Source organism: Homo sapiens, chromosome 2 (assembly GCF_000001405.40).
Source record: "Homo sapiens chromosome 2, GRCh38.p14 Primary Assembly".
Taxonomy (NCBI): domain Eukaryota; kingdom Metazoa; phylum Chordata; class Mammalia; order Primates; family Hominidae; genus Homo; species Homo sapiens.
In genome coordinates this window covers 3,861,941-3,875,981 of record NC_000002.12, presented here as the reverse complement: position 1 = coordinate 3,875,981, position 14,041 = coordinate 3,861,941, and the positions used below count along the sequence as shown (strand labels likewise).

Here is a 14,041-nt window from a genome sequence, read left to right as displayed (position 1 = left end):
CTGGAAGAGGCAAGGACGCCTTCTGCCCAGAGTCCCAGAGGGAGCACAGCCCTGCCGACACCTCAGTTTGGGAGTTCTGGCCTTCAGATCTGTGAAAGAATAAATTTCTACTGTTTGAAGGCACTCAGCCTGGGGTGCTTCATTCAGCAGCCCTGAGACACGAATACGTCAGGACCGGAGGCAGAACACCATGTGTAGTCCAGCATGCTCTCCCAGACGATGGAAAGAATTCATTTTGCAGACTCACACACAAATAACATGTTTCTGAAAAAATACATATTGTACCAGCAAGTGCAAAATGCCAAAAACAAAACATAAAGAGGACGTTCTGTCGAGTTCCACTTAGGAATATGTAATTGAGGGACAGAAAGCTGACCAGAGGCTCCCTGGGGCCAAGGGTACCACAAGGAATGAATGATAAGTGAACAGGAGGAACATCTGGGGCTGAGGAAAATGTCCTGCATTTTGACACTTGTGGCAGATTCATGAGTATATACATTTTTCAAAGTTCTTCAAATTACACTTTCAAATAAATATAGTTTATTGTCAAGTAAGTTGATAAAAACCTAAACATGGTATTACAATAAACTTTGATATTATGCTATAAATTTTAAATAAATGGTAAACTAACAGAATACTCAGTATCATGATTTGACATTAACAAAGGCACTGATAAGGTGTATAACTTCCACATGTTTAGCATGTAGAGCGGGTGTCTGTGCCGAGTCGTGAACACCATTAAACCTTGAGTTGCTGTGCTCATGGCATAGTTTTAAATTATTTTCAATTTAAGGAAAGATTTTAATGCTGAAGACAATATGAAAGAAATTGAAAAATTGTTAACAAAGAACATACTTTTAAAATTGCATTCAGGTAATAAATTTTTATAACATTTTTAATATATTCATAAATAGTTACTTTTTTCACTGTTTAAATATTTCACACCACGTATTGTGTAATTCTCACAGGTCACTTAACATTTCATTTACACTTTCTGAACCTTTTTTCACTATTGGTTTTTTAATCCGTTTGAAGTAACAAGTGGAAATAAGCAATGCAAATAAACCATCAAGTGTATTCACCTTTAAATCTCGTGCCTGGATGAATATTTAAGTCACATTATGAAAAATGACTAAACACCAGTACTTCATCTTTAAAAACTGCTAAAAATCAGAGGTTAATCATAAATGTTCTCAGCTTATCAACAGACTAAGTAAATGATGCAAAAAAATATTTTAAGTAAAATCAGATTTTGATGAAATTTTGGCTATCCAAGGCAGTTTTTCACAGTAAGACACACACATCCAATTTCCCCTAGCTTTGCAACAAAGACAGTGTCCACCACTGGTATAAGATCTAAAGAAGATTCCTGCACCCTTTCAGCTAAACAGTGACCCCATCTACAGGACTTACCAGTTGGCATCATGAGCCTTTGTTGTTGCCAATGCTCCCAGAAGAGCTATGGCACCTTTCAGGAATAAAAAGAAGAAGAAAAAAAAAAAGCTGTAGAAGGTCAGATAAGCTTTGATAAAATCTCCCTGAACATTATCGTAATCCAGGAATTCCAGTAAGCACGGTTAGAAATACCTTAAAGATTTTTTTTGAAAAAACAGAAAACATCTGGACGTAAAAGGATACATTTGACAAACATAATGATCTACAATGAAATTATTTACATGTTTCTGTTTTTTCTTCCATACTACACAATTTCACCTTGCAACTGCTTAACCAATTAGAAACTGGGAGAAGGTGGGACTTAAATATTACTTGGTAACTGATAGAATGACTGTTTGCTCCATAAATTGCCAAAATTATACATGCATTTCAATGTTTATGGAATTTCACCTACCCTATTGTTACACAAGCCCGATACTAAATTCAAATGTGCATGTCAGCATTATATTACTATGGTCAGATTTTTAAGAGATTTCACATAAGGTAGAATTCTTTTAAGTAAAATTATTTGTTAGCAATATCATACTGGATATTTAAAATGCATTAATTTTTCAATGGCCAATAAACCAATACCACTGAAACTTTCAAACCACCCCAGCCCCTAGAACACAGGGCACGGCTGGTCAGGACCTCCTAAGTTTGCTCACCTAAGTACACAAAACCAACCTAACCAGCTTTGGCTCTAATAAACAGAGCCTGTCATTAACACATAGGTTACCCTCCTTTACTTTGTGACTCACAGTTTTACTCAAATGAGCAAGACTCTGCCCAGAATTGTGTCTCTGCTGACGTTCATTTCACAGGACTTCTGAGTATGGCTATAGCTGCCCACCTATCATCTTAAAAAATTCTCACTGCTAGCTACAGTTCCTTCAGCATCTAAACAAAAGGAAATTCTTGGGCCAAACAAAGCTGATCTGATGGTTTTATCTTTACCCTGCGAAAGCTGTGCGGCCCAACTTCAGCAGCACAATTACCCTTGGTCACACTGATAGCCTGGCTGTAAGGAATTCTCCAGGGTGATACCATCCACAGGGGCTATCCTGATTCTCAGTGTGTCATTTTAGGATGCCTCTATTATCTTTTGAAATAAAAAACAAACAAGATTACAACCAAAATGGTGACATAAAAGCTCATTGTTTCCGTGTTTGGCAGGGAGGAAGCTAAGCTGAGTCTTGATCACAGTTAACAACTGCAAAACGGGGGCTCTTCCTTTCCTTGTTAGCTCACCATACCAGGAAAATACAGGGGAACCGTGACCTTGTCAGAAACTGGTTGGAATGAAATATAATTGGGAAGAAATAGGTGTCCTTACCCTATCTAGGGAAACTAACCTACCTATCTGAAAAGTCAGACAATGGAGGCTATTCTTGTGAGTAGAGTAGGAAAACAGGCCAGGGCCCTGATTAAAGTGCATTTAGAAGGAAGCTCGGTCTGTTGAGTGACTGTCATAAGCAGACCAATCAGCCTGCTCTGCTTGTCTTGTGGAAGAGCACTGCACACACATAACAGGGAGTGAACCCAGTTTTCATGTTTTAAATTACAAAGAGTGCAGTTTCCAAGACTTCACGTTGCCTCCATGGTGCCGGTTAATTAGGAACACCTGGATCAGTCCACCTATAAATCACCCCATTTTTGAGGATTATGAAAACCAGAGACTAATTCCAAATTTCCTGCTGATCACAAGCTCTGGCAGCAAGATTCTTGTATCTCTTCTTTACCCTGAATTAATACATACTCAGGAAATACAAACAGACTACAAAACAGAATAGAGCTAGCTTTTGCCACAGAATTGAGATGTCATCAGCAGAGACTCATTCAACAAATATTTATTGAGTGCTAATTATGTGCTAGACATGGTTCCGGATGCTGAAGATACAACAGGGAACAAAACAGACCAACATCCCTGCCCTCCGGGAGCTGACAGGAGGATGCTGTGTCTGGATCCAGCTATTAGGCCTGGGGTCCGGATCATATTAGAGATAGATTCCAAATTCAAGACTATGCATTGAGCACTTTCTGAATGCTTGGCACTAAGACAAAGACCCATTCCTAAAAAGCTTATTAAAGTCAATCAACTAGCCGCTATTTACTGAGCAGCAACTATAAACTCTGCTAGGCACTTTGCAGTTTATCATTTAATAACAGTGTTACATAGGTTTTATTATCCCCACTCAAACCTAGAGAGGTTAGTCAGCTTGCCAAAATGGCCAGGAGTGGTTGGACTAGAAGAAAAGAGCAAGTGCAGATCTTATGTCAGAGTCTGTACTCTGTTCCCTCACTACCACCGCCTTCTACCACAGGGGTCCCCAAGCCCAGGCCAGAGACCGGGACCAGTCCCTCACCTGTTAGGAACCAGGCTGCACAGCAGAAGGTGAACGGGGGCGAATGAGTGAAGCTTCATCTGTATTTACAGCCACTCCCCATCCTTCGCATTACCCCCGAGCTCTGCCTCCTGTCAGATCGGCCCAGGCATTACAGTCTCATAGCACAAACCCTACTGTGAACTGCACATGCGAGGGATCCAAGATGCGTGCTCTTTACGAGAATCTAATGCCTGATGATCTGTCACCGTCTCCATCACCTTCAGATGGGACCTTCTAGTTGCAGGAAAATAAGCTCAGGGCTCACACTGATTCTGCATTATGGTGACTTGTATAATTAATTCATTATATATTGCAATGTAATAATAATAGAAATAAAGTACACAATAAATGGAATGTGCCTGAATCTTCCCAAAACCATTCCCATCCCCGACCATCCATGGAAAAATTTTCTTCCACAAAACCAGTCCCTGGTGCCAAAAAGGTTGGGGAGGGACAACTGTTCTGTGTAAAGAGTGGGGGCACTTTACCTACGGTAGCCCATAGAAATACAGTCGACCCCTGAACAACTTGGAAGTTAGAGGAACTGACCTCCTGCGCACTCAAAAATCCAAGTAAATTATGGACTCCCCAAAAACTTAACTACTAATAGCCCACTGTTGACCAGAAGCCTTACAGAAAACATAAACAGTTGATTAACACACATTTTTAGATATGTATTATATGCTGTATTCTTACAATAAAGTAAGCTAGAGAAAAGAAAATGTTATTAAGAAAATGATAAGGAAAAGAAAGCACATTTAGAGTTCTGTCCTGTCATTATCAATCCTGTAAGTTTATGTCTCCTGCTTAGAAGATGAATTGTCTTTATGAAATGCTGGGCAACTGCAGCTACAGACCTCAAGCAATTCAGCTTTTTCTAATAATGTCACCACATTTCTGCTTCTTGGGACCTATTCCAGCATCACTAGAGGCACTTCCTGTGGGTCCCATAGTGTTACACAATGTGTTCGATATTGCATGAAGCATGAAGAAAAATATGCAAGACCTGCAAGGATCACTTCTTACTGCAGTGAGAAACTTACTGGAGAGACAGACTTCTCACACAGAGATGGTGCCTGTCACATGGTGTTTTCAGCAAATACTCCCGTCACTGCGACGGCAATAGGAGGTAGCTACAAAATTACCATGGTATGCACTACAGTTAACTTGATGCAGTTTTGATTTAATTTCACATCTTTATGTTTGTTGCATTTTTCTCAACTATGAATGGCACGCTGTATGGTCTGTGTTTCTACCCACAGGTTTTGAGATACTTTAACTTTTTATAATAGATTTGTACTTATTTATGGTAGTAAATGATAAAATAGAGTAGTATCTACATATATTTTATGCATTCATGACATCTCTAACTTTTACTTAATTTTTTCAATATTTCTAGGCTATGAAGTTTGTCTACAAGCTTTTCCAAATTGTCACAAATCTCCAAAAAATGTTCCATTACATTTATAGGAAAAAAATGCACATATATGTGGATCCACACGGTTCAAACCTGTGTTGTTCAAGGGTCAACCGGATATCTAAATTAGAAGTTTAAATCGAGGTCAGGAGAGCAAAAATGTAAAACTGAAAAAGTGTTTTCAGTTGTCAGAGCTGAGAGAAGAAGGCATACGTGCTTGAGGAGTTGAGGGGGGTTATGTGTGAAGAGCTGAAGAATGAAGCATAGGAGCTCAGACTCACAGGCAGGTGAGTCGCAGTGGCTGGGGGCGGTCAGGGAAGCACTCAGGCTGACGTCATTCACAAAGCAAGGACTCAAGAGCCCAGATGTCATGTGGGACAACAGGCATGCCGAGGTCAGGTGGCAAAGTTCATAAAAGGAAAGATGATTTAAAAAACAGCTATGGGATAAACATTCTCTTTCCTATAGGGCATTTCAGAAGATAAGTCCATTAACATTTGAAAAGTGTTCAACAGCGTAGAAGGGATACACAGTCCCGGCAGCACAGCTTATAATTATGCCAAAAGGCAAAGAAGGTGCTGGTTTATCTCTTGAAAGCCAAGGTACATGCAAGTAACCCTTGTATTATTACACCCACATCCAGACAACGGCATCATCATTCTCCAGGACAGCCCCACCAAACACCCTCCAGACCCACAATCCCCACAGGGTACTGAATTCATGTTCTCATTCTTATAACTACTTTCAAACCTGGAACAGCATCTACTCATTCAAATCCAACTCTCAGTAATATGGTTACAATTTTGGGTGATATTCTGGCATTTTTTAACTCACAAGTTTGAGATAATGGGCCATTCCTCAATATTCAGTTACTCAGCTAAGTAGCCACAATATTAAACATAGAAGAACTTCAATAGTTGAGATTGTGAAGCCAAATTACTGATTTTATAAAATTCAGATTTTTAAAGTTTATGTTTGAGTCTTGCTATTTTTTTTTTTCACTCTTGTTGCCCAGGCTGGAGTGCAATGGTGCAATCTCAGCTCACTGCAACCTCTGCCTCCCAGGTTCAAGCGATTCTCCTGCCTCGGCCTCCCAAGTAGCTGGGATTACAGGCATGTGCCACCACGCCCTTCTAATTTTGTATTTTTTTTTAGTAGAGACAGGGTTTCTCCATATTAGTCAGGCTGTTCTTGAACTCCCAACCACAGGGGATCTGCCTGCCTTGGCCTCCCAAAGTGCTGGGATTACAGGTATGAGCCACCACACCTGGCCTAGTCTTGCTATCTTAATATGTAAAATGTTTTGAAAGTACTTACACTTTTAAATAAGTATATCTCACTTTAGTCACTAGGTGTTTTACATATTAAAAATGTGTAAATTGAGCCACCTTCAAATGTTAATGGCCTTCTTTTCTGAAATACCCTATAGAAAAAAGAATGTTTATTCCATATCGCTTTTTCATCACCTTCCTTTTATGAACTTTGCTCACAGCAAATACAGCAGATGTGATCTCAAAGGAAAAATACATCTGAGCAGGTTTGCATTCCTGCTGCTCTCTCCCCAGCACCAACACAGAACAGGCTCCAAGAAATGGCTGATCAGGTCAGGCCATGCAGCAGAGCCCCCACCCCACAGGCCTGGCTCTGCCACCCTAGGACGAGGCCTGCAGAAAAGGTTACCTGGAGGACAGAGGCAGGTGGGTAGGGGCCAAGCGTCAGATCTGAGAGAAATGTCTGCCCCAGAGTCCAAAGCACTTGGTGCCAAGCTGTCCTCTCCTAAGTAGGATCCACCTTTCAGAATTCAGGGGTCCTGGTAAACCTGAACACAGGGTGGGGGTTTGTGCACAGGAGGGGCCAAAGTGAAGTCACATTCCCTGACTGGGACAGGCACGGTGAGCCCTGGTATCCGGGCACTCCCAGTCCATCAACACACACTGAAGGGGAAAGCAGGCTGTCGTGCGTTTGGAGCCATGACTTTCATTTTCTACATGTAGCCACTGTTAGGTTGATCCTAAAGCTACCACTTTACATATTTTAAACTCAGCCAAAGGGACTTTCTGTACTGGGTGAACTGTCACCTAGCTGGATGTGTAAGCAGACTGTGACCTACTCTTGTGCCCATCACCGAGTTTTGGCAAATCCTAGGCAGCTGACTGTTCAAACCGTGTTCCAATAAGACAAACCCTGAGCTGTAACCAATCCAGCTGTTTCTGACCTCACTTCCTTTTTCACCTCACTGTCCTTTTTCTGTCCATAAATCTTCCATCATGAGGCAGGCCGGAGACCCTCTGAACCTATCCTGGTTTCGAGGGCTGCCAGATTCACAAATCATTCATGGCTGGGTTTTCCTTTTAACACCATGCTAGAATTCAAAAGGATTTTTTCAAATCACACTGTAGGAATCCGTCTTATTTCCTCAACACTCACAGAGTTTCTGCAATTCTGTTTTTGGCCCTAAACGGCCGTCTGGCACAGCTGCATGGCAGAGAACAGGGATGGGCCAGGCCAGCACTTTCCAGCTGGGACCTCAGCGGGATCCAGGTCAAGCCCCTGTCCCAGGATGAACGCTGCGTGCCCAACACTCCTGGTCCCTTGCCCAGCCATCCTTTGAGAGAACAGGTGTGAGACAGGAATGTTGGGTGGTCATAGGCGACACAGGAAGATATCAAGCAGCGATCTTTCACAGCAGCAAGAAATGAGAGCTGTTAAATCAGCTACCAGGACAAGGGTGAGCCTGGGCTGATGGGGCCCTAACAAACAGGAAGGGGCTAAGCGGCTGAAATGGGCTGAGTCCAACATGGCATTTGGTTTGACCCATGCCCTACCCCAACCTAATTATATGCTCATTAACATCCTAAATCACACACCCTCCGGCACCAAGAGAGATCGGAGCATGGCCATATTTAGTATGGAAATGAGTGGCACCTGAATTCTAAGAAATCTCCACCTTTTTCCTAGAAGACCTCATGATTATTCCACTCCCTCATTAAAAGATCCCATAAAACTAGAAACCCAATCTCTCTAGTGCACGACTCACTCTCCCTAGCCAGCCTGCACTTCACTCTCAAGTGTGTGCTTCACTTTGCAATAAAAGCTTCTTGCCTTTGGCCTCATTCTGACTCGCCCCTGAATTCTTTCTCATGACAGTGTCAAGAACGTAGACACTGGCTGGGGCTAGGGTCTCACTGGCATGTGGGTACCCTCCTGAGCCCTCTGGAAACAGAGCCAGAGCCCTCATGATGCCAGAATAGGACTGAGCACTGCCTCTTGCGCTGAGGACGCATTGTTCATCCCTGTGCAATGTCTTCTTCTAAGGAAAAAGCAAGGCTCCCTAGATCCCACCTTGGTCTCTAATCTCCCAATGGGTTCTTCCTGCCCACTGCATAGACAAAAGCAATTCACTGGGACTGCACCATTGCAGTAGAGAAAGAATTGAATTGACAGGAGGCTGGCCCACGTGGGAGAACTGAGTTAACACTCAAATCAGTCTCCCTGAAGGCTCAGAGCTTGGAATTTTTATGGACAATTTGGTGGGCAGGGGGCTAAGGGATGGGTGCTGCCGAATGATTGGGGATGAAATCATCAGGGTGTGAAGAACAGTCCACACCCCCATGCGCTCATTCCACCTCTGGATGGGGCTACAGGATCAGCTGAGTCATAAATCACAAGTTTAGGGGGAATCAGCCTGAAAGCTCCAAACACCAATCTTAGGTTCTATGATAGTAATGTCATCTATAAGAGCAACTGGGAAAGTCACAATTCTTGTGACCTCTGGCCACATGACCCCTGAGCAGTAAGGGATTATGGAAACTATGCCTACATCTTAGCAGAGTTCAGGCCCCTCTCATAATCCTTACCTTATGGCCTTTTATTGGTTTTACAAAGGTGATTTAGATTTGGGAAGGGCTATTATTATCCTTGCTTTAAGGTTAAACTAGAAACTAAATTCCTCCCAAAGTTAGTTTGGCCTACACCCAGGAATGACCAAGGACAGCTTAGAGGTCAGAAGCAAGATGGAGTCAACCATGTCAGATTTCTCTTGCTGTCATAATTTTGCAAAGGCGGTTTCATATCTAGCATATATATCGAGGGTTGTTTAGTACAACAAGGCCTTTAGCTAAGGTAGACTTACTAATCTGTTGAAGAATCTTAGGGAAAAGACAGCCTCTTTTTCAGATGAGTAAACTGAGGCTCGGAGACTCTAAGCTGGTTGATGAAGTTCATGCAGCCAGGCATAGAGCCGGACCTGAAACCACGTCCTCTGACTCCAGGTCACTCCTTCCCACCCTGCTGCACTACAGCTAGATCAAGAGTGGAGTGTCCACAGCCTTCCCCTTGCTGAGGCCCCAAACTCATCTTCTCCCCACAGGTACAGCCATGAACAATGACACTCAAGGACTTCAGAAAGACCAACCCAAGGCCTCTGTCCTACTTGAATTGGGGGACAAGGGGCTGTCCAAAGGCCAGAACTGATGTCATTGGATGATCTGTTAGTTTCAGGTGCCCATGGCACTCTGACCTCATGCAAATCATAAACACAAGCAAAACCTCTGCATATTCAATTATGTCTCTAGCGGGACTAATGTAGCCTCTGTTAGCACAAAAACTCAGTTCATTTCATAAGACACGAGCAGCTCAGTACAGTGCCTCACTGAACGTTAGAAATGCAGGCAACAACTGAAGGGTAAAAGAGAGGCGAGAGGAAGAGACAAACAGACAAAAATGACATGCTTCATACCACGATTGGCGTTTTGTCAGAATGTGAATTGTTTCAAAATCTTTTCCATTCATACAAGTGGACATGTACACAGAGCAGCTCAGCCTAGGCTTACATTAAATTAGACTTCTATCTTGGTCTTTCTGATCTAACATTTCTAAACATCCAGAATGATTAACTATTTTTATTTTGTGGTGAGGTTCTAGAATATAAGCAACGAAGACAAAAGGCTGGTTTACCCTCGCAAAGGAAACCTTTCTGGCATTTTGCTCACTGCAATGCAATGTAGCATTCATTGAAATATTACATGCAGCTTGCCAGAGCAGCCCTGAATCAGAGCTAGCAATGCTTCAATGAGCCAGGGAGAGTCATAATTCCAAATTCCATTTAGGGAATCACTGGGAGCTGTTCTGTTATTTTCTCTGGAAACCAAATATTCTTGCCCTGTCTCTCTAGAGCTGCCTGCAATTACCTCACTAAGGCGAAAAAGGCTGAACTGGAACAGGAGGACTGACCCTCTCTTGTTATTCAGTCCTGGTGAAGGTCTATACAGCAAGCCCTTTCTGAGAAATTTCTCAAGAGATGTTAGCCAGCCAACCAGAGGGCAGTGCCTCCTCCTCCCTTCGACAATCCATGCCAGCCGTGGCCAAACGGCACAGATTAAAACTCAGAATAGCAATTTGTGGTGCTAAGCCAGATGGAGATGAAAAGGTCATTTAAAATTAGAGTTAACTCACATTCTTGCGAGAGATGGGGGTCAGGGCCGGCCCTGCAGAGAACAAGCACCAGGAAAATAACCGTATCCCAGCGCACAGAGAGCCTGAGTCCCAGGGGTCAGCAGAGCATTGGAGGCTGCTCTGCTGTGTAGGCCCAGGGAAGCAGGACCCACACCTCTACTGTTTATCCTCCAAACAAAGGCAGCGCACCTGAGTGCCCTGAAGGTGCGAGCTCTGCACCTGCCACGTCAGAGACTGGAGCCAGGACCCGAGCTGCACGGGGTTCAGGCCGCTCACCTGCCACACACTCCCTTGGAGAGCCTGAAGCTGAGCTCCTGCTGAGGCTTGTTCAGGTTATTAATTAGCATTGCATTAGCAACGGCTGTGCATGGGGGCTGAGGGCAATTCTGTAATATTCTGTAATATAAGCAATTCATATGACGCTTCAATCTGTCTATGTAGGTCTAAATTCACCATGAGGGAATTATAACACGGATTCTAGGTGTAGCATTCATCAAGTGTGATAATGATCTTTTATAACCAAAACTAGATACACATTAAACACTAGCATTAGGAAATGCATTCATTTTTATAAAGGTATTTAATTAAATTTTGTAAAAATTAAATTTTAAATTTTACTTTATTGGAATAATTTTGATTTTTGAATACTCATTAATTAAATTTTGCCTTTTAATTTTAATAACTTTAATTATTTTAAAAGAAAAATAGTACTATTGAAAAATATGAAAAATAACCTTAATTTTTTAAACTTAATTTATCTAAATTTATATTTTATTGGTGAAATGTTCAAATGTCCTATTATGAATGTAACTACATTTTCCTTTCTAATCCTTTAGATTAGGGATGGGTTGGCAAGCTTTCCCTGCAAAGGGCTTCACATCTGAAGAATGCATGAAAGTTGGTATTTTGCTAGAAATAGAAATTATAAAAATGCAGCTTAAAGAAAAAATGGAAATAGTAACAGAAAATATGCAGAGAGCAGCCTGTTTAGATTATTTAAAACTGAAAATAGTAAATATGAACAGACTTTTGTCAAGCATGACCCACACAAAATTTGAGAACAGGGCATTACAAGTTTATTTTGTGAAAATTTAGCTATTGATCAAAAGAGTAAATATGAGCAAGAAAATTATTCTAATCAAATCCACAATTTGAATGATTTCATATTTCCAACTTCAGTCATAAAACATATACTTTTACATATATTTTTATTTGGTTTTTATGAACAAATACTGATTATGGACAAATGTTAAGAATTTTTGTTGTAGTCATTAACAGGTTGGTTTATAACTTTTAAATGTTAAAAAATATATAGCTTGTGAGTCTCCAACTGCACCCCTATCCCAGGCCCTGCAATGCTGATGGCAGGCCTGTCATAAATTGCAGCAGAGGCTGTTTTCTGGATGAACATGGATAAAATCTGCACACTGTCATCAGATTGTTCTTCCTTAAAGACGGTTTTTGATCATAGAAATCCCAAACTCAGAAGGTTTCTATATATCCCCATTGTCTCTAGTTCAAATTCCTCAGACTGACAAGCAACAATGTCCAGTTTCTCCAGAACCTACTTTTCCTTCCTTACTTCTTGACATTCTCTACCCAAATTTTCTACTCTAGTAGACTGGTCTTCCCCAGGGCCTCCTGCCCAGGCATTGCACAGCCACGCTCATCTGCAATGGCTATTCCCGCCCACTCCACCCATTTCAACTCTCAGACCAAGGCTGCCTCCTTGATGACACCTTCCCAACTGCCCATGCATATGGGAGACTTCTCTCAATCCTGTGGCACGTGTTCTCTGTACCCCTCAGAGGTAGGTTGCTCTGTAGTTATGCTACCCATGAATAATGTCTTACTTGCCCAAGCAGATTATTTTCTTAGATTATAACCTGACATTTTTTTTGAGGCACTGATACATGCCAAGTACTGTAAGGAACTTACATTCACTATGAAAGCAAATTCACTGAACCGAATTGACAACTGTCATGGTTAAGTTTAGGTGTCAACTTGACTGGATTAAGGGATACCCAGATAGCTGGTAAAGCCGTGGTCCCCAACATTTTTGGCACAAGGCACCAGTGTGTGGAAGATAATTTTTCCATGGACCAACTGGGGGGTTAGTTTCGGGATTAAACTGTTCCAACTCAGATGGTCAGGCATTCGTTAAATTCTCATAAGGAGCATGCAACCCAGACCCCTCACATGCGCAGTTCACAACAGGATTCGTGCTCCTATGAGAATCGAATGCTGCTGCCGATGTGACAGGCAGCAGAGCTCAGAGGGGAATGCCCACTTGCCTGCTGCTCACCTGCTACTGTGCCTAACTGGCCATGGACCAGTTCCCAGTTCCTACCTGGCCAGGGACCAGTACCACTCTGTGGCCGAAGGGATGAGGACCCCTGCAGCAAAGCATTATTTCTGGATGTGTCTGTGAAGGTGTGTCCAGTGGATATTAGTGCATGAGTCTGAATGGACTAGGTGAGGAAGATCCCCTTCACCCAGTATGGGAGGGCACCATGCAGTCAACTGAGGCCCACATAGAACAAAAAGGCAGAGGAAAGAGAATGTGCTCACTTCTCTCACTTTTGGAGCTGAGACACTCTTCTTCTCCTGCCCTTGGACATCAGAACTCCACGCTCTTCAGCATTTGAACTCAGGAACTGACACCAGTGGCCTCCTCAGGTCTTCAACCTTGGACTGAGATTACACCATAGATTCTCCTGGTTCCAAGGCCTTCAGACCTGGACTGAGCGACACTACCAGCTTCCCTGGTTCTCCAGCTGGCAGAAGGCCTATCGTGGGACTTCTCAGCCTCTGTAATCCTGTGAGCCAATCCCCCTAATAAAGCTCATATATAGATATCTATATCTATACATATCTATAGATATACACACACATATATATATACACATCTATATATATATATAGAGAGAGAGAGAGAGATACATGCCAAGTACTGTATCTATATATATTCCTATATAAACCTATATAGGTTGCATATATAAACCTATATATATGCAACCTATATATACGTATGTTTATATATATACACTTATATTCATATATACATGTGTATATGTGTGTTTGTATATATATTTATATATATGTTTTATTTCTCTGAAAAACCCTAATACGACAACTGGTATCCACCACAATGCTACAAGAACCAAATTTTTTCCACTCTCTTATGTGTGTGTGTGTGTGTGTGTGTGTATATATATATATATATATAGAGAGAGAGAGAGAGAGAGAGAGAGACATGCATATATATAAACCTATATATATGCAACCTATATATATATACGTATGTTTATATATACATTTATATTCATATGTATGTGTGTGTATATGT

General features: G+C 41.9%; 1 annotated feature.

Moving 5' to 3' along the window:
• Positions 6,253–6,461: a silencer, noted in NCBI's record as "fragment chr2:3917111-3917319 (GRCh37/hg19 assembly coordinates)". NCBI's record gives its function as "represses an EF-1alpha promoter that drives an FKBP-Casp9 reporter gene in an ReSE screen in HepG2 liver carcinoma cells {active_cell/tissue: HepG2}" and the evidence as "EXISTENCE:reporter gene assay evidence [ECO:0000049][PMID:32094911]".